The sequence below is a fragment of the Homo sapiens genome, chromosome 2 (assembly GCF_000001405.40).
Source record: "Homo sapiens chromosome 2, GRCh38.p14 Primary Assembly".
NCBI lineage: Eukaryota > Metazoa > Chordata > Mammalia > Primates > Hominidae > Homo > Homo sapiens.
This window is the reverse complement of record NC_000002.12, coordinates 31,365,803-31,392,131: the sequence shown is the minus strand read 5'-3', so window position 1 is coordinate 31,392,131 and position 26,329 is coordinate 31,365,803. Positions and strand designations below refer to the sequence as shown.

Sequence of the window (26,329 nt, the reverse complement as noted above, 5' to 3'; positions counted from 1 at the left end):
TACATTAAATGGATAATGAAGGAATATTAAGAACAACTCTATGCTCATATACTTGATAACCTAGATGAAATAAAACAATTCCTTGAAAGATGTAAGCTACCAAAACTCATACAAAAAGTAGATAATCTGAATAGGCCTATAACTATTGAAGAAATTGAATCATTAATTAATAACCTTTAACACAGAAAGCACCAGGCCCAGATAGATTCACTGGTAAATCCTATCAAACATTTAAAAAAGAAATTATGTCAATTCTCCACAATCTCTTCCAGAAGATAGAATCAGAGGCAATACAAAAGTTAATCACTTTCATATGTAACAGCAATGTATAAGTGGAACTTGAAATTCAAAACACATTATCATTTACGTTTTACATTAATACTCTCCAACAAATGTAATACTTAGGTATGAATCTAAAAAGTGTGTACAAGATTTATGTGAGAAAAACTACAAAACTCTGATGAACAAAATCAAAGAACTAAACAAATGGAGAGATATTTCTTTTTCATGAATAAGGAGACTGAATATGTCAAGATGTCAGTTGTTCCCAACTGTAGACTCAATGCAATCCCAATCAAAATCCCAGTAAATTATTTTGTGGCTATCAACAAATTGATCCTAAGGTTTATATGGAGAAGAACAAGATCCAGAATAGCCAACTCAATATTGAAGGAGAATAGAGAACAAAGTCAGAGGACTGACACTACCCAATTTCAAGATTTACTACAAAGCTGCAGTTATCAAGACAGTGTAGTATGGACACTGTCCATACTACAAAAAGAATGGACAAAAGAATGGACAAAGAGATCAATGGAACAGAATAGAGAGCCCAGAAATAGACCAACATAAATACAGTCAACTGATGTTTCACAAAGAAGAAAAGGCGATACGATGGAGCAAAGATTGTCTTTTTAATAAATGGTGCTGCAACAGTTGGACATTCACATACAAAAAAAAATGAATCTAAACACAGACCTTATACACTTCTCAAAATTAACTCAAAATGAATCATAAACCTAAGTGTAAAGCAATAAAACTCCTAGAAGATGACATAGGAGAAAACCTAGATGACCTTGGAATGATGATGACTTTTTAGATGCAACACCAAAGGCATGATCCATAAAAGAAATAATTATAAGCTGGACTTCATTAAAATTTAATAACGATGAATGAGGAGACAAGCGGTACACTGGGAGAAAAATATTTGCAAAAGACACATCTTGTAAAGTACTTATCCAAATATACAAAGAACTTATAAAACTCAGCAATAAGACAATGAACAACTAAATTAAAAAATGGGTAAAAGACCTGCACAGCTACCTCACCAAAGAAGGTATATGGATGGCCAGTAAGCATATAAGTTCGACATCATATGCCATTAGGGAATTGCAAATTGAAAGAACAGTGAAATACCACCACAGGTCTATTAGAATGGTCAAATCCAAAACACTGACAACATCAGATTCTGGTGAGGATGTGGGGCAACAGGAACTCTCATTCATTGCTGGTGAGAATGCAAACTGCACAACCACTGTGGAAGACAATTTGGCAGTTTCTTACAAAACTGAACATGTCTTATCATGCACCTCAGTGATCACACACCTTGGAACTGACTCAAAGGAATTTAAAACTTATTGCCACATGAAAACCTGCACAGGCATGCTTACAACAACCTTACTCATAATTGCCAAAACTTAGATGCAACCAAGATGTCCTTCAGTAGGTGAATAAACTGTAGAACATCCAAATAATGGAATGTTAATTCAGTGCCAAAATGAAAGGAGCTATCAAGCTATGAAAAGACATAGACAAACCTTAATTGCTACTACTAAGTGAAAGAAATCAATCTTTAGAAGCTACATATTGTATGATATCTATTCTATGAAATTCTAGAAAAGACAAAACCATGGAGGCAGTAAAAAGACTAGTGGTTGCCAGTGATTAGGGGAAACAGAGGGATGAATAGTCAGGGTACAGAGGTTTTTTAGGGCAGTATAACTCTTTCTGTAAGATATCATAAGGGTCAACACCTGTAATCATGCATTTGTCAAAACCAATGGAATGTACAACACCAAGAGTGAACCTTCATGTAAATTAATGGACTTTGGGTGATAATGATGTGTCAATGTGGGTCCATCAGTTGTAACAAATATGCCACTTTTGAGGATACTGAAGTGAGAAAGGTTGTGCGTGTATGTTGGGATAGGGGTATTTGGGAATTCTCTACATCTTCCACTCAGTTTTTTCTGTGAACCTTAAACCACTCTAAAAAAAAAACTTTTTTTTTTAAAGGCACCAGTGCAGAAGCCTTAGCCTATTTAGTAAAGTAGGAATCTCAGGAGGGTGGGGATGAGAAAATGTAGTCTTATCCAACCTCAATAGACCTTGAGGGCAGTGATGCATTACTGTACATCACAGTAATTTATGTCATTAACACACCAATGAATTATCAAGAAAATAGATCTAAGTAATAATGCACTGGCACTTTGTCTGGAAAAGGCGCTTCTGTGAAATATGTCCTTCCTCAGAGGGCCAGGTGAGTGGGATGCAGGACTTTCACTTCAGGTAGGCCAGGGCATTTCCCTACATCACTCCTTCTCCAAGAAGAAAGGTGAGAAAAGGCACTAAGAAACCTCTCTTTCTTCCTTTCTTTCTTTCTAAATATAGAGGGGAAGTGCAAGGTGGCTGGCTGGGGGGAGGCTCAGAATGGACGGAGCAGGTCTGGTGTCCAGTGCTGGAGCTGTGAATGCAGGAAGAGTCTGCACACGGAGCAGCGTGTCCAGGTGGTGGGGTGGGTGGGGTGTTTCTCTCCTGATGCCACTGCCTGCCTGCTTACAACTTCTCCAAGGTCACACCTCCAGCATCCCATGAGTGCTTTCTTGCAGAAGACAACGAGTTGTGAAACAGACTCTGGAAAATGCCAGCATGGCATGGTGTCTCCTGTGGCTGACTTGCAGAAGGACTGCTCCCAGCCTGCTTTTTCAGGAATTGACTACCCGATAAAAGTGCCTGAGGCAGAACCTATGAGTTTCCCCTACTTTTTCATCTCAGCACAACTCCAGGACTCTGTCTTCTGAAGCCCTGAGCTGCAGATCAGTCAGCTGAGTGCGCCCCTCTGCCACCCTGCAGTGCCTCGGTGCTGGGTGGTAGTGATTCTAGACTCTGTGTGTGCTCTGCCACTGGTATCCTAAGAGGTCCTGAGCAAGTCTTTTCCCAGAGATGCTGGGTGGTCTGACCTGCATACTTCTCCAGAACAGGCCCACAGTGAGGAGTGAAGGGTGTTTACCTTTCTGGGAAGAAGTGCCTAATAAGCAGTAGGGAGGCCATTGGGCACACTGGCTGGACACAGTGCTGGGCTCAGCACCCGTCTTGGACATCCTTTGGCAGGGTCCTGCAGAGAGCCCAGCCTGGGAGACACCAGCCACGCCCCTAGAACCTTGCTGATCTGGAAGTCAAGCCTCTTGAGTCTTGAGAGAGCCAATGGGAATATCCCTCATAGACGCTTCCTGAGGAAGCAGCACTGAAGAAGAGAAATGGGCATAAGGGATAGGTTTTGATAAAGTAGGACCTAGCTTTTATGGAGAAAAGTTCCTGAAATTCAGTGGCCTTGTTGCTCCTATTTGTTTATCCATGAGTTGTTTAATCTACGTTAGCCAAGCAAGAGGGAATGTAGCGGAGGCCTCCACTCTGGGCAACAGGCAGGCAGGATGCCCCTGCTGTTGATGCTGGGACAGGCGTCAGAGCTGGAGTGTTCTGGATATTAGTAATCTAGATTCCTTAGCTTCTGCAAATACTCTTTGTAAATACCCTTGTGCAGATGTTCATCATCTCTCTAGGATGGTGGATGCTGTGGAGGAGATGGGAATAATCCAAATTGCTGCATGAACCAGAAGAAAGACCACTCAGTAAGTGAGTTCTTCTCCCCCTGGAAGCCTGGGGGTAATCTGAGACTTAGAGGAGTCAGTGCACGAGCTCCATGTCCCTGGCGGTGGGGGCTGGAAGAGGAACCTACGGTGAGTCGGTGATGGCAGACTGTGGGGATGGTGATGGTGCACGTTAGCCCCGGGTCCTGTAACTGAGACTCTCTCATTCCTGCCTCCCAGGGATTACCTGCTCCTCTTGCAGCCTGCAGGGGGCTGGGAATGAGCTTGCTGGAAGGAAAGGCTGAATTGGTCCTCTTGGGTGTTTGAAAGGAGGAGATACTGCATCACCTACCTGTTCTCTTTCCCCATAGGTCAGCCTCTCGCCATCTTTATTCAAACCAGAGGAGTTCACGCCCCTGGATCCAACCCAGGAGCCCATTTTTCCCCCAGAGTTGCTGGTAGGTGATGCCTCAGGGACAGATCCAGCCGGGTCTGTACTGTGAGTCCCTGGAAACCTGCTTTATTTTCATACCCACTGGGAACTTTGTGTCTTTCTTGTCCTTTATGTTTCAGCTTAAATTTCCCTTCCATTTTCTGACACTCCCCTAGGTTGAGTCTCTGCTATGTGTACCCACAGCCCCTGCACTTCAGTTCATGTGTGTCACAGTTACAGTTATTAATTTGATGTCTGTGTTCCTTGCTAAATGACAAGCCCCATGAGGATAGGGACTGGCTCTCTAGGCACACTGTGTAGTGTAGCAGGTTCACTATAACCATTTGTTGATCTCCTGCCTATATCTAATACATAAGCACTCCAAGAAACGTATTCCCTCTATAAGCAATCCATTTATTTAAAACAAAACAAAACAAAACAAAAAACGAGAGCTCTCTTCAAAGGACATGATCTGCAGCTCACAGCTCTGTCTTAAGGAAACCCCCTCACACCCACTTTATCACCATCACTCTAATATTTATGGCAACGAAAGAATCAAGCCACTCGGAGTTTTTGAAGTGCACACTTCTCAGAGTTTTGAGCTATGAAAACTACCTTGTAGCTTCAACAGGCCAGAGAGAATGGCTTTGCAGCAGGCCACCAGCAGATCTTTCTCTGGACTGTGAAACTTTGAAAATACTGGCAGTTCGATTTGAGGGCTTCGTTCTCAGCCCAGTGTCTTCCTGCAAGCACTAAAGCCAGCCTTCCTAGGCATCCCCTTATAACAAACTCCTTCCTTCCTTCCTTCCTTCCTTCCTTCCTTCCTTCCTTCCTTCCTTCCTTCCTTTCTTCCCTCCCTCCCTCCCTCCCTCTCTCCCTCCCTCCCTCCCTCTCTCCCTCCCTCCCTCCCTTCTCATGCCTTGTCCATGGTGCCCCCTGGAGATATTATGGGGCACTGCAAGGAATCTGGCTTTCAGCCAGGTCTGTTGGGGACCCCTCATGGCAGGTGACCTTCAGCAGGTCCCATAACCTCCTTGACCCTCAGGATCTTCTTTCACTGGTGAAAATGAGGCTCATAATGCCTCCTTCATGGAAGTCTTGTAAAGACTAGTCCCAATGGAGTTCCTGCCTCTGAACATATTACTTCCCCTTGCTTCTTCCTGTTAGATATTTTCATTCTGAATGTCAGTAAAACATCCCATTGAGGACTTAAAGCAATTTATAAGAGGAATGACAGTAGGAAGAGGGAGACAGTGTAGTAAGAAAACTGCATTTCCCAGAGGCTGAAAGACACTCCTCGGAAGCAGCTGCGATTTGAAGGGGAGCGTGTGACGTGGATACAGGCCTCAACCCTCAAGGAGCTGCTGGACCTCAAGGCTCAGCACCCTGACGCCAAGCTGGTCGTGGGGAACACGGAGATTGGTAAGGGCCAGGGAGGCTGCCCTGGGGCTGCCAGGGGGTCTGGGGGTGTTTCTAGGTCCTCTTGCCCATCCTCACCTCCCCCTGACTTTACTTGCCTCTGCACCCTATCCCTCTGCCCCACTGACTACCTGGAGCCCACTGGAAATCCCTGGACACTCCAGTTCCTGCAAAGGCCCCTAGCTGTGGAGTCCCACAGGCCTGGCTCAGCCCCTTGCTGGATGTGTGACCTCAGAAAAGTTGCTTGTCCTCATCTACCCTCATTTTCTGTTTTTTATATGGGGATACTAACAACTCCTTGAAGGATTGTTTTGGGTGTGAAATGAGATCCTTGCATGTAGTTGACTTCTCTCCACAAACATTTACAGAGCACCGAGCATGAGCCAGGTACTCTGGAAGGGGCTTGGGATACAAAGCTCAATTGGACATGGTTCCTTGCCTTCAAGGGCCTTCTAGTCTAAGGGAGGAGGAACTAATTTAAGCAAAGTGTCTAGGCCAGTGGCTGATGGACACTAGAGGTTCCATAAATGTCGCTTTTGACCCCACCACCCCACTTTTTCTGGGGGAGGATGTGATAAGGTAAAGAAGAGGAGAGCTCCAGGTGTGACTGTGTTTGTGTTGCCTATGACCATGGCCACCTGCCCTGTCAGTGCTACCACCTAGGACGTGAGGCCTGGAATAGTTGAACAGGCTGGGAGACTCAGAATATGCACCTCTCAGCCCCAGTGCTGTAAGAGATGGGGAGAGGTTCCCAGGTCCCTGCTAATCTCTGTCGATTTCTAAACCTGGCATGGCCTATTTCTACTTTGCTGGATCCCAAGCCTAGTGAGGATCTAAGGAGGAGACCGTGGGACAGCTGAGGACCTCTGCTGTGGAGGGGCATGCTCTCCTTCTAAGCAGTCAGGTCCTGGCTCTGGTTCCTGAAGGAGCTGCCAAGCCCTGAGTTCTGGTTGGCTCCTCAGCCACAGAGAGGAGAGCCTGGCTTGGGTCAGTGCTGATGGAGTCAGAATGGACGCCTCCCTCGTGCGCACATATACATAAGATAGAGTCCCCAACTGTGGTTTTGTGACACACTGAGGCAGCAGGGTGGGCTGAGACACACCTCAAGAAATGTGATCTTGATGGCCATGGCTCAACAGGACTCATGGCTCATGTAGCTCAGGTGTAGCTTGATTTAAGGTGGCTGGGGGAATCTTAGGAGGTCCTTCTTTTTTTTTCCTCAAAGACAGGGTCTCACTCTGTTGCCCAGGCTGAAATACAGTGGTGCAATGTCACCATAGCTCACCTCAAACTCATGGGCTCATGTGGTCCCCCACCCCAGCCTCAAGGGGATCATTTCACACTTGCATGCTCCCTGCCATGAGCCATCCAATGTCCTGGGCCCAGTTGGATTCCAAGAGAAATGAATAACAAAGATTACCTAAGTTCCACAATTAGAAATGATTTCTCAAGACCATTTCCTTCTGCGCCACTCCCTTCTCTCTTATACATACCCCAATAGCATAGTCACCTCCAGTCAACGCAGAGTGTTGGGGGAAGGCAGACAAAGAGAAAACCTTAGTAACGTAGAACTTGCTGCTTCAATCTGTGTTCTTTGTCCTGGAAGCTGATATTCAAAAGGGGCTGGTATTCAGGTGCTTCTAGGATTTCTGAAGGGAGCTTTGAAGATTCTGGAATCTGGGGATCCACAAAGCCTAGGGCCCCCTTCAGAAATCCTAAACAGCACCTGGGGGGAAGGGGGGGCAAAGAGGTCACAGGTATTTCTTTTTTAACCTTTTCCATCTATACACTGTTGGCAGGGCTGGGAGAGGTGCTGAGCCAACTGGGTCTAAGGAACAGAGGCACACTTGTTTAACAGAGGCTTCTGACTCATTTAGTCAGGAAGGCCAGAAACCACACACAGATGTGTGGCCCCGCAAAGCCAGACAACTTGAAGAACTCAGGCAGATAGTGGGAACTGGAGGACAGATTTGAAGTTTTCCCTCCCATTTTCCTTTTTTGTTTTAATGTTAAACTTTCATGTTTTTATTACGATTATACCCCAACACGAATAATCATTCCAGTACTGAAATTTGGTTATTCTTAGCTGTGTGATTTGGGCAAGAAACTTAACTTTTCTGTGCCTCAGCTTCTTCATCTATAAACAGAAAAATCATAGTACCTCATAGGGTTGTTGTGAGCATTAATTAAGTTAAAATAGGGAAAGTGCTTAGAAGGGTTCCTGACATACCTTAATTTCCTGTGTTTTCTAATGTACACAAACACACACACACACACACACACACACACACACACACTAGAGTGAATTCAAACTCATTTCATTTGAATTCAGGTAGGTTTTTTGAGAGGGAAAGAAAGACCTAGTTTTGGGCTGACAGTCCAAAGACTGCATCTAATCCCACCCCTGGTCTACTGAGTTTCCTATTCCCAGACACCTACAGTCACCAGAGAGCATATTATGATTGTGGATATGTCATATATCCTGTGTGTAATGGTGAGAAAAGCTGCTAAGGCCTGCCCTGGTGATACAACAATGGGCCTACAACTTCAGCTTCTTGTTTCTCTCTAGGCATTGAGATGAAGTTCAAGAATATGCTGTTTCCTATGATTGTCTGCCCAGCCTGGATCCCTGAGCTGAATTCGGTAGAACATGGACCCGACGGTAAGAGGAGGTTCACTCCAAGCTTATGGAGGGGCTGTGAGGCTGGGGATAGGTTACAAGGTGGGTGGCAGGTATCAGGGTGGTCTCCCCACTGGCTCTGGCTGCCCCCTGCTTCTCCTGGGGCTCACCTTGCACAGGGAAAGGCGGGAGGAGACCCCATTCATTGCTGAAACATCCATGGTAGGGTGCCAGTGGGCAAGAGGCTGCGGGATCTTCAATCATTTTTCTCAATTCTGGCTACACATTAGAATCACTCATGCGGGGGTGGGGAGGTGGGGATTGTGCCTGAGTGCTTTTAAAAAGAATGCTAGGACTTCACCTTCAGAGATTCTGATTTTAATGAGTTGAGAACTACTGGTTTAGAGGAAAGAGCATTGGTTGTAGGATCAAGAGGCCCAAGCTTGAGTACTGGCTCTTTTATTAGCTGTGTGGCATTGGTTAGGTCACTCAACCACTCTGGGCCCTCATTTCCTCATCCATGGAAAGCTGTGAGTCCTGATTCAGCCTTGCTCCAGTTGCTGGAAAGCTTCAGAGGAGCTGTGCATGAAAGCCTCTTCTGAACTGTGGGAAGAATTGCTGTGATTCCGAACGTGCGTTCCCAGGTATCTCCTTTGGAGCTGCTTGCCCCCTGAGCATTGTGGAAAAAACCCTGGTGGATGCTGTTGCTAAGCTTCCTGCCCAAAAGACAGAGGTGTTCAGAGGGGTCCTGGAGCAGCTGCGCTGGTTTGCTGGGAAGCAAGTCAAGTCTGTGGCGGTGAGTCGCTCTCAGAAGCAAGCGAGGCCCGTAGGATGGAGCTTTCATCTGAAAGCAGGGCAGCCAGACTCTCACTGTGTCAGTGCAGTGGGCCTCAAACTTTAGCGCTTAGAGTTGCCTGGGAGGAGCAGTGCTTGTTAAAGTGCAGATTCCTGGGCCCCACCCTCAGAGATTCTGATACATGGGTCTGGGATGTAGCCCAGCTCTTCAGGTGCTTCTGATGAAGGTGGTCTGTGGGGCACCCTGGGAAATGCACTCCACGACTCATAGGCTTCATTCTGTGGTTGCAGAGATGAGGCTTCCTGCCTCCCTCCCCCTTCCTGAGCTTGGCTGAGCCAAACAGTAGGTGAACAAGAGATATGGATATGCTAGGGAGAAGTCAGAATTGAGAGGGGAATTTCCTTTCAGAGCTATAGGGAGAACCAGAGACAGAGCCCTCCCACAGAGGGAGGAATACACCTGTTGATTATTCAGTCAGCCTTCAGACAAGTCCCCACATTCCCAGTTTGCAAATGGTGGCATTCGAACACCCTATGCCAATGGAAGCTCTTCACAACAGTTTATGGTGTCGGAAGAAAAGCTATCTCTTCCATTTTTAAATTGTTTTTTTAAATTAAAACAAAACAGCCTACTCCTATTCCTCCCAGCCCCCACCCCAAGTACCTGTCACTTCTGATTATAGATAAGGAAACATAAACTGTAGATAAGGAAACATAAACTCAAAAACTCTGCTGAGTTCCCTAGTTCTGCTAAAATCTATTTCCAGGAAGAATTGTATTTTCATCGTGCAACTGATTTTCTTCCTGTTTTCTAATAACGAGAACCCTGTATCTGATTCTTCTTACATTTTTTTTGCCAAGTTACCAGGAAGTTCAGATCCAAATAGAGCAAATTGTTCAACCTTAAGTCTTCCTCCTCTCTTTCCTTGATCTTTATCTTCTATTTTACTAAGTCTATATGGCCTCTGTGATAAATCACCTCAATCCTTTCGGGAAAAGGTTGGGTGAAATCATCAATCAAACACACACACTTAAAGGGGCTTGCCTGCTAAAATTTTAGAGTGGGGATCCAATCTCAAGTATTCTGATTTCAAATTTTGCGCATTTTTCAGAATGCCGAAGTTCTCACTATGCTGGTATTGTGACTACAGTAGGCACAGGACCTCAGGGGTTTGCCTGCAGCAGGTGTCACCTGGCTGGTATGTTCAGGAGCCTGCTACGTGAGCAGGGGTTTCCTGGGGTGGGCTCTCACTGCATGCTCTCTGCTTGTTTTAGTCCGTTGGAGGGAACATCATCACTGCCAGCCCCATCTCCGACCTCAACCCCGTGTTCATGGCCAGTGGGGCCAAGCTGACACTTGTGTCCAGAGGTGAGCTGCCTGAAGCAGAGGTCCAGGAAGAAGGACTTGGGGGAGAAAAGTCTCACCAGATAGGTCATTTTCTGGAGAAACAGAGCTCAAAGTTCAGTGACCCAGCTTTCCCTGTGATTTGGATCCAGGGAAGCATGGAGAATGTACCTGGTTTGGTGGACGGGAAAGCTGGATATTTTCTCTGTAGAGAATTCACAGCAGGAACTGCTACCTGCATGCCTTACCTAGTGGGGTACTGGGGCTGGGATGCACTGGCTCACCACAGCCTGCTGTTGGATCTTCAGGAATTCTGTGAACCATTTGTGAAACACAGTTATTAATAAAAATCAGGCCAAGTGCGGTAGTGCGGTGGCTTATGCCTGTAATCCCAGCACTTTGAGAGGCTGAGGCAGGAGGATTACTTGAGGTCAGGAGTTCAAGACCAGCCTGGCCAACATGGTGAAACCCCATGTCTACTAAAAACACTAAAATTAGCTGGGTGTGGTGGTGTGTGCCTTTAGTCCCAGTTCCTTGAGAGGCTGAGTCAAGAGAATCACTTGAACCTGGGAAGCGGAGGTTGCAGTGAGCCGAGATCTCACCACTGCACTCCAGCCTGGGTGACAGAGTGAGACCCTGTCTCAAAAAATAAAAATAAAAATAAAATTGTATAAAATTACAATGAAATAAATTATATTCAAAACAAAAGGAATAAATACTCAAAATTCATCACTTCGTAAGTACTTCATTTTGCTGTTATCAGTGCTCCTGGAGTTATTTGCATCTGTTCTGTCTGTACGGTGGAAATGCTCTACAATTATGTGCTCCAGTGCATCTCTGCCTTGTCAGAGGGTCCCCAAGACCACCCCGGCTCTGATATTCACTGAGAGGATTCAGCATGCCGTCATATTCCTGGCTATGACTTATTATAGCAGGAGGATGCAAAATCAGCAAAGGGAAAAGATACATGGGAGCAAAGTCTGGAGGAACCAGGTCCAATCTTCCAGAGACTTCTCCCAGTGGAGCCACACAGTGCATGCTTAATTCCTCCAGCAATAAGTTGTGACAACACAAGTGATGCCTTGCCTACCAGGAAAGCTTGTTAGAGGCTCAGCGACAGAGGTTTTCTTGGGAGCTCATCACATAGGCAGCCTCTACTAGCATGTGCCTAAAGTCTGGACTCCCAGAAGGAAAGCAGGGGTTCAGCATAAACTATTGATTGTACAGATAATTTAGGCGCAGTGAGCTGCTCCATCATGGAGCACTGGGAACCCTTCTGAAGTACAAGTTCCCAAGGGCCAGCCTTGTAAGCAACCCCTACAGAGGACAGCAGTCCGGGTTGCTGTGCTAACTCTTTCCTGCCTTCTTCCCAGCTTCACATTCAGTGATGCAACTTTGGTGGCCTGGAAGTATTTACACCACAGAAATTGGCAAATGCTATAAACCAGGGCTTTTCCCCCTACACGGAACTGGTTGTTAAAGATTCACCAGCACACCATTGCTTAAGGATGCTTAAGGATTTCAGAGAGAGGATTTGGCCCCAATTGTGCCAGTCATTTGCTCTGACTGTGGGCATTGGAGACCAGCATGAAGAATCCCACTGATGGTTATCCTTTCTCCCCATGGGGGGTTCCCAGCCTTTCCCTCACTTTGGCTCCTCTTCATCTTGCTTCTGTACAGGCACCAGGAGAACTGTCCAGATGGACCACACCTTCTTCCCTGGCTACAGAAAGACCCTGCTGAGCCCGGAGGAGATACTGCTCTCCATAGAGATCCCCTACAGCAGGGAGGTGAGATGTTGGAAGTGGTTCCAGGCTCTGCTCAAATAAGTCCTATTGCCAGGCTCTAGACAAAGAGATCAGAATCTGCTTCAGGGACCAACCTGAGCATCTCTCAACCTTTACATTGATGATTTTTCTCTCTGAACTTTGCCTCTGTTGAACCAACCATACTCCTTTCTGGACAATGAGAAGTTGCAGGATAGGAGTCCACATGGCATGGACTGTGGAACCAGATAGCTAGAAACTTGGTCCTGAGTGAGCCATTTCACCTTTCTGAGCCCCAATTCCCTTATCTGTAAAATGGGCACCATGTCACTTACTATACGGGTTATTGTGAGGACTGAAAATAAACAATTCATAAGGTTCCTGGTGATGCCTAGAAGCCAGTGGAGATGACCAGCAGCTAAGAACAGAATTCCAAGAACACATCTAGCTGTCGAGGATTCCTGCCCATGTCAGAGGAAATTTGCTTTCCCGTGGTAAAGAATGTGGGGTTCATGTGCTGCATGAAGAAGCTGCCTGTGGCTCAGACCCTCATACGCTGACCTTAGGCTTGACGAGGTGTTGCTTCACTGACCTCGCTGTGGATTGGTGCGGATGGATTCCTGCTTCATGAGTGGCTCTTCTGGCCTGTTGGGGCAGGTCTGGGCACCACTGGCTGCCTTCCTCTTTGTTCCCTGGGCCCTGTGATGTCTTGACCTGGTGTGGGTCTTTCCTCCCTTAGCAGCTACCAGCTCAGAACACATCCAAAAGGGCCTGTCAGAAAAGGCATCTGGGAGAGGCTTGGGGAGCCACTGTCAGAGAGAGTGTGAAGGTTTCCCACAGCTGGAGCTTTAGTGAGTGTTCTAAGGCATGTTTTGCCCTTGGTAATTTTGACCTCCTTAATGAGAATGCTAATTAAATTAGAGCATTTATATCCCTGAGGTGGTTTCTTAATGGTTTTCTAGCTTGTCTGTATAGACCATTTTGAGCAGTGATTCCCAGAGTTTTGAATTTCACAGTTCAGTAAACTTTTTTTTTTTAATTATGAGTGATGAAAGTGGGGAGGAAACAGGTGTAGCTCTATTCAGTTTTTATTTGCCAGGTATGGTCATTAACAAAACACATCCTTCCATGAAAGAAAGGAGATTTTAATACCCAGAATTAGAAACTCTCAAGAAAGGGTATTGTCAGCCTGACACTGACAGTTCACTGTACCCCAGCGAGAATGTCCCCGTGGATGGGCACAGTCCTGGGAGTGAGCACCTGGGACCTCTGTTCCAGAACAAAGGTCAAACTCTGGGCTCAGTGCCCCAGAGCCACACATGACATGCAAGCTGAGCTAGCTTTATCATCAGGAGCGGGCTCCATGGCTTCTTCAGGGAAAAGTGGGTGGCCATTTGGGGGCCTCAACTGTGGGCCTCATTGTGCTTTTTCCAATAGATCTCCTCTCCCTAAACCTGCTAATTTTGGTGTTCATCAGAATTTGTGGTGCCAGAGTGAGTACAGACCTCAAAAGGAACCTGACACAGAAAGGGCCTGAAGTCAGGTGGCTCTTTCCTGGAAAATAGCTCATGCTCTCCTCCTATCCTTAAAGAAAGATCCTGGCTCGAACCCAGGAAGGAAAATGTGTTTAAAGCACAAGGGCAGTGATTGTTTCATAGTGTGATAGTGATATTTTCTTTCTTGCTTGCTTTCTTGCTTTGCTTGCTTGCTTGCTTCCTTCCTTCCTTCCTTCCTTCCTTCCTTCCTTCCTTCCTTCCTTCCTTCCTTCCTTCCTTCCTTCCTTTCTTTCTTTCTTTCTTTCTTTCTTTCTTTCTTTCTTTCTTTCTTTCTTTCTTCCTTTCTTTCTCTTTCTTCTCTTTTTTTTTGAGACAGATTCTCACTCTGCCTGCTGGCCCAGGCTGGAGTGTGGTGGCATGATCACGGCTCAGTGTGGCCTCAATGTCCCAGGCTCAAGTGATCCTCTCACTTCACCCTCCCAAGTAGCCGAGACCACAGGTGTGCACCACCACACCTGGCTAATTTTTTTTTTTTTTTGTAGAGATAGGGCCTCACTATGTTGCCTAGGCTGGTCTTGAACATTTGGTTTTAAGTACTCCTCCCACCTAGGCCTCTGGGATTACAGACGTGAGCCACTGTGCCCGGGTTCTTTCACCAAGATTTCTGAACGATGCCAACAGACTGGTGGGAGAGGCAGGTTAGAGAGGGCACTGTGGAGGCCACAAACAGAGGATGCCAAAGGCCAAACAGCCTCAGTCCCCAGAGAGGCTGGGTGGGCACTGATAGTGGGCACCAGGGTAGGGAAGGTAAGGGGGATGAGGGGTCTCTAAGGAGCCTTTGTGAAAGCACCCTTCTTCCCCTGCAGCTGTTGTTCAATGGAGACCACCCAGTTCTACTTTGTCCCTGACCCTCAGCTTTTCTGACTAGCAGGGAGAAATCCTGTTTTTTTTTTCAGCTTCTGGGAATGTTATCTGGAACCTCTCCTAAACAGGTGGTAATCAGTTACATTTGATCTTTGATTCCCGGGGCCAGTTCACCCACTGATGTGTGATGGTGTTATCCCCTCACCTCACCTCATAGCCCTGTGGTTTGGGTCTGCCATTTGCAGCCCCTACAGAGCAAGGTGGAAAACAGGCACCTTCCTGATCTCTTTTAGGGGGAGTATTTCTCAGCATTCAAGCAGGCCTCCCGGAGAGAAGATGACATTGCCAAGGTAACCAGTGGCATGAGAGTTTTATTCAAGCCAGGAACCACAGAGGTACAGGAGCTGGCCCTTTGCTATGGTGGAATGGCCAACAGAACCATCTCAGCCCTCAAGACCACTCAGAGGCAGCTTTCCAAGTAAGAGCTAACAGCACAATGAAACTGCTGCTAATGTTGCTGCTACTAATAGTATCATTGTTACTGCTGCTGCTACTATGACTACCAGTAGTATTACTATTGCTGCTACTACTACCATAACTACTGCTACTGCTGCTACTACTGCTACCACTTCTACTTCTACTATAACCACAGTTGCTACTACTACTATTACCGATACTACTACTAGTATTACTACTAGGAGTATTGCCACTGCTATGCTATTACCATTGCTGCTACTACTATTGTTACTATTATTGCAACTATAATTAATATTATGATTGCTACTACTCCAGCTGCTTCTACTAAAATTACTACTGTTACTCATTATTGCTATTACTATGACTACTGTTGCTACTACTATCACTGCAGCTATGATCACTGCTGCAATTCCTACTGTCACTATTATGATTAGTATTATTGCTGTTATTACTATTACTATTGCTAATACTACTGCTGCCTCTTCTACCGCTTACTCTATTAGTACTACTACTACTATTACTGCTGTTATACTAGTATTTTACTAATAACATTACTGCTTCTAATATTATTGCTACTGAAATTACTACTACTACTACTGTTACTGCTACTACTACTACTATTACTATTGCTACTAGTATTGCTGCTGCTACTATTACTACTAACAGTAGTATTACTGCTGTTATTGATGCTGCTGGTGCTATGACTGCTACTTTTTGGCATTGCTTCTGTTACTACTATTATTACTACTGTTGCTGTTGATTCTATGACAACTGCTTCTATGACTATTACTACTTCTACTACTACTATCTATCTTGTTACCACTACTGCAACTATTATTGCTGTTGCTAGTATTATTACTAGTAGTATTGATGCTGATGCTACTACTACTGCTCTGTTATTGCTACTATTGCTACCACTATGGCTGTGATTAGTACTACTGCTACTACTATTACTATTTCTATGGTTATTATATAACAGAAATTGTACCGAACACTTCACTAACATTATCCTAGGAAATCCTTACAGCACCCACATAGGATCAATAAAGCTTAACTTGGAGTTTGGTTCCTTGGTTCCGAAATTCCTGGCTTTGTCATTTACCAAATAGATAACATAAGTCAAGTTACTTAATCTCCGTGTGCCTCAGTTTTCTCATTGGTAAATGGGTGTAGGAATTTTGCTTACTACATTTTCAAATTTAAATTAAAAGTGAGAATTCATATAAAACACTTAAGATGTTGCCTGGCACATTGTGAGGACTTGATAGATTTTAACTGTTATTATTTTGGTGGTCTTTTAAAATTGTATCTATTTTTGAAGATGAGGAAACAGGCTCAATGAGATTAATTAAAGTTGCCTAAAGTCACCCAACTCTAAGTATCCAAGCCAAATTTTGAACCAAGCTTTGTACAGCTCCGAGGCCCTGGGCACACAGCTCTACACAAAGGGGTCTGGAGGGCTGGGCGGGAGCGCTGTCCCACGCCCTGCTCTCTGGCAGGCTCTGGAAGGAGGAGCTGCTGCAGGACGTGTGTGCAGGACTGGCAGAGGAGCTGCATCTGCCTCCCGATGCCCCTGGTGGCATGGTGGACTTCCGGTGCACCCTCACCCTCAGCTTCTTCTTCAAGTTCTACCTGACAGTCCTTCAGAAGCTGGGCCAAGAGAACCTGGAAGACGTGAGTGGGGCCTGGCCAGGCACAGGCTCTCTGTAGCATGTTTGGGGATATAAGAAGTTGGTCTGGGTAGTAAATTTGCTCCTCTCCTCTGGACATCTGAGGGCAGAATAGCAGGGACCAGGGTCACAGCACAAGAATCTTGGAAATGGGAGTGACCAGCTGGCTTAGAGGCAGAGTGCTGGGCTGGGCTTTGGCGACAGAGGTTCTTGCCCTGTAATCTCAGCTACGTGGGAAGCTGAGGCAGGAGAATCACTTGAACTCGGGAGGTGGAGGTTGCAGTGAGCCAAGATCATGCCATTGCACTCTAGCCTGGGCTACAAGAGCGAAACTCTGTCTCAAAAAAAAAAAAAAAAAAAGAAAGAAAGAAAGAAAGAAAGAAAGAAAGGAAAAAAAGAAAGGGAATGCAGAGTGTGATGAGTATGTAGGGTGGAATGGGAATGTCAGGTGGGGCTGCAATAGCCAGGAGGCCGTGGAATCCATAGGATATGTCTTCAAGAGAGAGTGCAGGCTGAGGTGGGCCCAGCTCCTGAGATTTGTTCACCAAGAATTTATTTTGCACCTATCCTATGCCAGGTTGCATGAGGTGCTAGGGGGCAGCTCAGTGTCGGGGAGAACATGGACAATAAAGGCCACACTTGGGAGACAACTGCAGAGATGGAGTGTGGAGGGAGCCCAAAGTGGAGAGGATGTCACTGATGCAGGGACAGCAGAGATAAATCCTTCTTTAAGAAAAGAACTTTAAAAATACAGGATTGGATAAAGAAAACCTAAAATTACTCTTACTCTCAAATCCCAGAGAAAACCACTGCCAAGTATTTTGGTTATTTCCTCTGATTTTTTTTCCTGCATTTATCTGTCCATCTATCTGTCATACTGTTTGTCTGCCCCATCTCTCTCTCTCTCTGTTTCTATCTGTCCTTCCATCCATCTATCAATATCTGTCATCTTCCTATCTTTTGATGTGGATATATTATTTTCTAAATAGACTTGGGACCACACTGCATATAGCGCTTTAAATCCCCCTTTGCTTCCATTGGGATTATATTGTGAACATTTTCCATATCATTAAATGCTTCCCACAGAATTGAGGAGGGCAAGGAAGGAGGAGAAGGATACTCCCAACAGAGACAGCAGCAGGCATAAATGCAAGAAGGAGGGAAAGAGTTTGGGGTGTTGGAGAAAGTACAGACCATTCAGTCTACAGGGTCCACTGGGGGGCTAGCAGTGAAGCTGAGGCTGCTCTTAAATTCTGAGCTCTCAGAGCCCGTGTTTGGATGCTGAGAGATCCAGCCAGCACTCAAAGGCGTATGAAGTGAAGAGACAAGGGGATCAGTTATCAGTTTGGTCATTTTTATGGACAAGCAAGGAAGGAATCAGTGATTGAAATATAATCCTGGTCACCTCTGTTTTCTTGTCTCCACAGAAGTGTGGTAAACTGGACCCCACTTTCGCCAGTGCAACTTTACTGTTTCAGAAAGACCCCCCAGCCGATGTCCAGCTCTTCCAAGTGAGTACGGTCAGTGTATGGCTAATATCAGGGGACTTTGCAGGCCACATGAGTTGGCTAGTGGCTGACCATCGGCTAATGACTAACTTGAATTGTATATAGGTCCATAAAACTCCTTACTCTTGTGCGTAAATACCCAGTGAAGAAAATGGGAATCGTATAGATGTTAATGTCACTATTTCTCCCTTGTTTGCCTAAATTTCTCTCTTTGGGATTAAACTCTTAGCTGCCCCTCTTCCTTACAGATTTTTTTTTTTTACGTGATGGATAATGTACAAAGCCAGACGTCTTCTTGAGTATGCTAAAACAAACAAACAAACAAACAAACAAACAAACAAACCATCTATCTGCTCCAGCTTTTTGAGAGGTGCTACGTAAAGGGTCAGCAAACTTTTCCTGAAAACATTTTAGATTTTGTGGGCCAGATGGTTTCTATTGCAACTTCTCAACTCTGTCATTGTAGCACAAAAGCAGCCACAGGAAAAACAGGAATGAATGAGTGTGTTGCCTTCCAATAAAACTTTATTTACAAAAACAGGCAGTGGGCTTGTGTTGGCCCCCATGCCACAATTTACTGCCCCCTGCACACTAGAGTGTAGTCGTCCCAGGCATGAACTCTGGAACCTGACTGCCTGAATTTGTGTCCACACTCTGCCATTTCCTAATTGTGCAACCTTGAACAACTTACTTATTCCCTTGTGTGCCTCTTAAGCAAGTTAATTATACCCACCTGCAAATGTGGATAATCACATACCTGTTTCATAAGATGGTTTTGAGGATTAAATGTGTTAATAAAAGTAAATTGCTTAGATGGTCCCTGGGATATGGTGAAACACTCAATAAACATTAGCCATTGTTATGATTACTTTGTAAAACAAAAACAGAACTTTATTATGAGATCAATAATTTAAAACATTTTAGAAAATACAGAAAAGCATAAAGAAGAAAATAAAAATCACCAAAAATTCCACCTCCGAGAGCAAATTATTATTATATTTTTGTTTAATTCTTTTCATTATTTCCTATGTGTATATGGACATGTATATACTATATTTATAGCATATATTATCTTTTCCTACATAATTGAATTATTGTCAAACACAAACACAAATGTTTTGCGTCACGTTTTTATGCTTGCATGAACAATCCTTCTAATTAAAGTTCTTCAAAAGTATGTTTTAATGGTTGCATACTATTGTGTTATATGGGGCTGCATAATTTATTTACCCAATCCCCAATTAGTGGAAATGTAGGTTCTTCTTTTTCTTGTTGTTCTTTTATATAACAACACTAGGACCACCCTTGCTATCACTTATGCACCTTCCTGTTCCCTTTGCCCCACGCCCCTCTGAATTCTTTATTCTTACCCCTTGGTGTCCTTTGCCATGTAGCATGAAGCTCACCAGTGTCCCCTGGGCCCATAGAGGGGCAGTGTCCTTGGCAGCTCACCCTGATTGATGACCCTGTCATTCCAGGAGGTGCCCAAGGGTCAGTCTGAGGAGGACATGGTGGGCCGGCCCCTGCCCCACCTGGCAGCGGACATGCAGGCCTCTGGTGAGGCCGTGTACTGTGACGACATTCCTCGCTACGAGAATGAGCTGTCTCTCCGGCTGGTCACCAGCACCCGGGCCCACGCCAAGATCAAGTGAGTGACACCGCCAGGAGGAGCTGGTGGAATGCTGTGAGGGGGCCACTGGGAGTACCCAGGAGACTTCTCTCACCCTGCTAGGCCATGGAGATGCAAAGATAATGAGGTGCCTCCAGGACCTCCCAGGCTAGAGAGAGGGGAAGACCTTATAGGCAGGTCCTATTATTATCTCTCTGTTCCAGATGAGGAAACTAAGGCACAAGCAGGGTATGTTACTTGCCCCAGGCCACACAGTTGGTAAGTGGCAGAGTTGGAATTTGAAGCCAAGCAACGTGAGCAACTGTGTTGTGCTGCCTCAGGATGTTCAAGCCAGAGAGTGTGAACTTCACTTCCTGGTGGGCGTTAGACACATACCCTGCTGAGCAGATCAGCTAGGAAAAGCCCTTCCTTGGGCCCACTGTGTGGACTAGGAATCAGGTTTCCTTGTCATTGGTCTTTTCTCTGCTGCTGCTCCTAGTTTGGAGACGGGATCCCTCCAGGAATGGTGAACCAGGCACAGCTGAAATCTAACAGATAAATAAACTTGTCCAGGTCCCTGAAAACAAAAAAAAAAGTGTTTAAGTTCCCATGGTTGGCAGCTATAGGATACATTCTTTCCCTTTTGTTCCTTGTCTTGAGCCCATATTGACAATACCATAACCCACATTGTCTACGCTCAAACCACCTCCATCCAAGCAATGTGTGAATGGATGGAAGAGGATGAGGGGGTTGACATTGTTGTAACTGCAACAGTTGGGGCCTTCCTGGGCTGCACACACTTGGAAGTGGGTTTGGCAGGACAGAGCTTAACCCTCCTAACTTAACCTCAGTTCCAATAATCCCAGTCACACTGCTTTCTGGCTTAGTGACTTTGGAAAAACTACCTAACTTCCTTGAGTCTGAGTTTCCCCAAACATAAAATGGGAATTAGGATAAGTACTTTCAGGGTTTCTTGTGAGGATTAAGCATTTGGAAGATGGTTAGAACTTCAGGGCAGTTTACATACCTTTCCCTGAAATGTGTTGCCCTATTTCCCCATGGGGGCATGTGCCAGTGTGATGAGTACATAGTTGAGACTGTTATCCTTGATCATATAGTCGGGCATTCTCCCTTTGCGGTTCGTGTTGCCTAATTATGGTAGGATGCCCTGTCATGCTGGGATAGCACAATGAATGTGGGGAGACAAATCCAGCTTTATGAAGCTGTTCAGGGCCATTGGATCAGTGGCACAGCCGGGCTCCATGTGCTGATTTTGGGAGGGAGTTAGGTGTGATGTGTGCATGAGCCAGAGCGCTCCAGAGTAAGTGCTGTTCGTTCTGATATGGCTTGCTTGTACTTGGAGACCAGACAGAGCATCACGTAACATCCAAAGAGGCCTGGCCTGCCTTCTTCACTTTATTTATTTTTAAATGGAGACAGGATCTTGCTATGTTGCCCAGGCTGGTCTTAAACTCCTGGGCTCAAGTGATCCTCCCACCTTGACCTGCCAAGGTGCTGGGATTATAGGCATGAGCCACTGTGCCTGGCTGGCTTATTCACTTTATATCCCCAGCAACATTCAGCATAGTGGCCTGAACATGGTGAGGATTTAATCAACATTTGCAGAATAGGATATAATTGAATTAGAATCTAATAGAAAAGAAGCAGAGAATCGAGGAATTAGGATGGAGCCAAGCCAATCAAAATAAGAACAGGGTTGTCCAACCAGGTGATGGGTCCCCTGCTCCAGCTTGCTGACCTGGCCCCTCACACCACTCATTCTTGCAGGTCCATAGATACATCAGAAGCTAAGAAGGTTCCAGGGTTTGTTTGTTTCATTTCCGCTGATGATGTTCCTGGGAGTAACATAACTGGAATTTGTAATGATGAGACAGTCTTTGCGAAGGATAAGGTAAGTCTTGGATTTTTTTATATGAAGTAAATTGAATAAGTATTGAAGTTTTAATTTGTGTACATTGCTCCAAACTCCTGATCTGGAAAGGTTATACATTTGCATGGATTATGGCCATCATCCAGTTGGCCCATATTCAGGACAATCCAAAAAGATAGAATATGTTACTTGTTTATTTAATTGATGGCTGCTGTTTGTACATGGCAGGATGTCTCTATGCCAAAGTGGCAGTAAAACAACACTGGTGATTGCATTTGAACTAACAATTCGGTTCTTAAGGGACAACAGTAAGCTCTTTAATTAAAATAAAATAAGAATACATTTAGTACACTAACTAGAAATCACAATACCACCACTACGTGAATTGGTAATTCACTTACATGAAAGTTTATCTATTGATTTCAACTATGTGGAATTCTTCAACAACAAACAAAATTTTTCAAATGTTTAAGACAGCTGCTACAAAAGTCCTTATATTTTACTCATAGGATAGTTCTCGACAGTCATTTTGTAATTCCAATAGACATCCAATGTTGCAAATTAGACATGAGTGGGTACTTCTGAAGAGTGAATTCATCTTATTATTGATGTAAAAGTGAAGGAGATAACAAAAAACTAAAAATATGAGAACAAAGACTCCATGAGGAGAGCATTTCATAGAAGAACAAATTGCTTTACATACTTTAAGAGCTTCTCAGAGCAGTGCTAGCATTATGGCTAGTGAAAGTCAGCCAGATTTAACCACCATTGCAATAACCAACAGCCAGATTTAACCACCATTGCACTAACCAACTGAGTCAATAGCTTATTTGGGCCATAAGAGATAATTATCAGAGACATGCATACTAATTGTTGGTTCCTATTGTCAGAAACTTCATCTTCTAAAGTGATGTGTTGTACAAAAATTTTTTGTTGTTTACTTTTTCGGGGATGTTGGATGACAATTATCTCTGAAGGAGATCCATTAAGCTTTTATGAAACTGAATTATTAAACAAAATAAAACAACAATCATTATCATATAAATTTTTAAAAATATTTTTATGGGTCATCAAGTCTAAGAACCAGTATTTGAGAGCTACTGCTTTTGGGTATTAGTTGAAGTATAAGACATGATACTTAAAGTATCATGTCTTGTAAGTACGTGTCTTACAGGCCTTATATTGATGCTTACAGCCTTTACAGCCTTTGAGAAGCTTTTGGTATAAATCTGGGAAATAGAACATAAAAGAGAGTGGTGAGGTGAAAAGAAAATAAAACTGGGGGTCAGGGCCTAAGGTTAGTCATGATCTGTCAATAGTAACTAGCCAAATGTGGCCTTGCCTTCTGAGTCTCCATAGGAAGACCAATGGTGTTGGAGTGAATCCGAATTGACAAATGCACTTCCTGGTGCCATATCCCCCTTTCTGCTCATGGCAAACAAGGAATCAATTGCCACATTCTATCTGGTTCAGCTTCTCAATAGTCTGCCAGTACTAAATACTCAGAATTGGCCCTTGAGATGAAATGTGTTTGCCATCTTGATCCTAGTGATCCTCAATCAGTAGGATAAGGAAATTAAGAGGCCCTAGGGCATTCCTAAAGTGTGCTTTGATTGTGAGGGCAGGGACTTCTTTTGGCTTTTTGAACAATCCAAAAATAATTTGTTTCACCATGAGCCTGGTTGCGTTCTTTAACAGTCTGTCTCTGCTACTAGGTTACTTGTGTTGGGCATATCATTGGTGCTGTGGTTGCTGACACCCCGGAACACACACAGAGAGCTGCCCAAGGGGTGAAAATCACCTATGAAGAACTACCAGCCATTATCACAATTGAGGTAACTGAGAATGGGCTGCCTGTGTAGAGGAGTGAGCTCCCCGTCCCTGGATGTGCATGTATTAGGATCCCCTGGAGGGGATTTGAGCAGCAGGTAGGGATTTGACTAGATGGGTTTTTAAATCCCTTTCAACCCTGGGATTTGGGGTCCCATGAAACCTTCCCCTTTATGATCTTATGCCCAGTCCACTAACAACAGCCAAACTGAGTTCCTCCTTCTCAAAATTTTACCTCCATCTGGTCCTTGTGGTATTCTTTGCTTTTCCTCAAGGTCCAGGGTTGTCCACCTACAGCTGAGGAAATGGAGGAATATGATTCTCTGGGCTATAGTAGAGCTTACTTCAAGTCTGTATGTGAAGCATATAGAGATTCATTTATGGAAAGAGAGAGTCAACAATTCAGAGAGCTTCTCTTTCCCTAATCAGAACCTATCTTTCCCTCCCTGCTAAAAGCCACATTTCTGAAACTTCTTTGTGATCCTCAGGATGCTATAAAGAACAACTCCTTTTATGGACCTGAGCTGAAGATCGAGAAAGGGGACCTAAAGAAGGGGTTTTCCGAAGCAGATAATGTTGTGTCAGGTAGAGCTGTTCCATGCCGCAGTGGGAATGGGGTGGCCCTGGTTTGCAAATTAAATTCAAGAGATATGCATTGAACCCTGAAGCAGGGAAGTGATTTCTGGACATTTCCTGACAGAAGATTCCCTCTTACGTTTGTAGCAAAATAGGAGACAGTTGGATGGGAAAGAGCTTCAGTTATCTTAATCTCTACTCTCCTGTCTCTAGGCTGGACCTAATGATTCTAGAGAGATTCTAGAGTATTCTGATCCGGAAGACCAACTAGGGATGATAACAGCCACATATGCCTGACAGCCTTAGGTCTGCCAGGCCTCTAACCGCATAAATTCTCATCCTCCCCCTACCTGAAGGCAGTCCTTACCCATCTTCAACTAGCATCCTCCCTCCTCTTCCCTTTGCCCTGCTCTCCCTCCACCTCTGTCTCTGACACTGTGAAATCAAATCCATTGCTCCCACCCCAGGACAACACAGCTGACTACCTCTTTTGGAACTGTTTTTTACATTGGCTGTTGTGCTTTGCAAAGTCACTATGAAGCCAACTCTCCAACAAGCCTGGTATGAAGCCGACTCTCCACCAGGCCTGGTAGCTTAGGTTCGGGAACATGCGCTGGTTTTCAGTGTTTCAATCACATCTATTAATCCCTGCTTTACTTTTTCCAAAATTTTACAATGATGGTTTTTGAAATCCTTGATTTCCATAAGCTGCAGTGAGAAGAGAACTTTGGACTGGATGCATTTCAGTGTCGTTCTTTCTTTGTTGTGGGGGTGGGGATGAGGCTGGAGCACTCAGCTCCCAGATAGCTAAGACTTTGGGATCCTTTTCCACCCCAAGTGGGAAACCTTGAGGTTACCCCTCAGGTAGCCATTGCTTCCTGCCCAGACCACTTGGCAGAGTATACTCTCTCCTTAGGCAAGCTGGCCCCTTCTGCAGCATTGGGCTCACTGTGAGGGATCTCACTGCTTCCCCAGGGGAGATATACATCGGTGGCCAAGAGCACTTCTACCTGGAGACTCACTGCACCATTGCTGTTCCAAAAGGCGAGGCAGGGGAGATGGAGCTCTTTGTGTCTACACAGAACACCATGAAGACCCAGGTAGATGCCTTTTGGGTCAGCTCAAGGGGCTGTCAGGGTAGCGGGGAGCTCCTAGCAGACCAGGAGGGCCATGTGGGAAATAGGAAGAGGGAGATGTGGGCTGGTCCAGAGGGTACTCGAGTGTCATAGTCCTGGAGCCAGACTCTTTCACCAACAAGCTGGTATCACTGACCTTGTTCCATAACCTTTCTCAGCCTCAGTTTTCTCATTTATAAAATGGGGCCTGGGTGGGTTGTCATAATTATTAGATGAGTTTTAATATTTAGACTAGAGTTTGGTACATGTTGGCAGTTATCATTTCAGTGCCTATGGCCTCGGTCAAGTCATATCCTGCCTCAGTTTCCTCATATGTAAAATGAAGGTGTTGGATTAAGTCATAGCCACAGGGACCACTAAATTATCTACAGCAGCTCAAATATTCTTTGTTTCTCTACTGCCTGTAATGTGACAGCGGTTGCCAGTGTTTTCGGCAGCTGGTCCTACTCTCATGATCTACCAGTCGCTGGTCACCTGGTCAGACAGAATAAGTTTCTAAAAGTATTCTGTGACCAACTGCTTGCCCTCTGGTTAAAAACCAATGCTGAATTCAGTCTGGCAGGCCCCAGCATCACTAACCACAAAGCTGCATGGGATTTTCAATCAAGGAATTTCAGAATTCGCAGCAGTAATTAGGTCCATGCATGTTGGACAGGCTCTGCCTTAGGCCTGAAATAAGTTCAGGTAATGCATTCAGTGCGAATGTTCTGTCTTTCACTCACAGAGCTTTGTTGCAAAAATGTTGGGGGTTCCAGCAAACCGGATTGTGGTTCGAGTGAAGAGAATGGGAGGAGGCTTTGGAGGCAAGGAGACCCGGAGCACTGTGGTGTCCACGGCAGTGGCCCTGGCTGCATATAAGTGAGTTCCAAAGCCTGTTTCTCCCATCTGGCTCTGGGAAGAAGAATAAGGCTGTCTGTGCCAGGAAGGTTTTCAGGACTTCCCCCTGTTAGAATTAGTTTCCCCCTGCTTTGAATTCTCACAGCCCTCTGTTTTTAGAACCCTTGGGCATAGTGGGAGGGTAACATCGCCTG

At 45.0% G+C, this 26,329-nt stretch overlaps 1 protein-coding gene across 3 annotated transcripts in view, besides 1 other annotated feature; it reads left to right on the top strand.

Moving 5' to 3' along the window:
• XDH (xanthine dehydrogenase) overlaps positions 1-26,329 on the top strand; it is an 80,422-nt gene that overhangs the window by 22,611 nt on the left and 31,482 nt on the right. For 2 of the 3 annotated variants that reach the window (NM_000379.4, XM_011533096.3), the window contains exons 7-22: positions 3,837-3,905; positions 4,235-4,321; positions 5,577-5,718; positions 8,285-8,377; positions 8,980-9,131; positions 10,406-10,499; positions 12,156-12,265; positions 14,895-15,079; positions 16,578-16,752; positions 18,176-18,259; positions 19,735-19,904; positions 21,654-21,777; positions 23,472-23,591; positions 24,075-24,171; positions 25,138-25,262; positions 26,023-26,156. In NM_000379.4, the coding sequence (NP_000370.2) occupies positions 3,837-3,905; positions 4,235-4,321; positions 5,577-5,718; positions 8,285-8,377; positions 8,980-9,131; positions 10,406-10,499; positions 12,156-12,265; positions 14,895-15,079; positions 16,578-16,752; positions 18,176-18,259; positions 19,735-19,904; positions 21,654-21,777; positions 23,472-23,591; positions 24,075-24,171; positions 25,138-25,262; positions 26,023-26,156 (1,961 nt within the window). The remainder of the gene's footprint in view (positions 1-3,836; positions 3,906-4,234; positions 4,322-5,576; positions 5,719-8,284; positions 8,378-8,979; positions 9,132-10,405; positions 10,500-12,155; positions 12,266-14,894; positions 15,080-16,577; positions 16,753-18,175; positions 18,260-19,734; positions 19,905-21,653; positions 21,778-23,471; positions 23,592-24,074; positions 24,172-25,137; positions 25,263-26,022; positions 26,157-26,329) is intronic. The other variant, XM_011533095.3, reaches the window with a different exon arrangement.
• Positions 8,564-9,105: an enhancer, noted in NCBI's record as "H3K27ac-H3K4me1 hESC enhancer chr2:31605893-31606434 (GRCh37/hg19 assembly coordinates)". NCBI's record gives its function as "activates a minimal SCP1, AML or CMV promoter by ChIP-STARR-seq in naive H9 embryonic stem cells {active_cell/tissue: H9 hESC(naive)}" and the evidence as "EXISTENCE:reporter gene assay evidence [ECO:0000049][PMID:30033119]".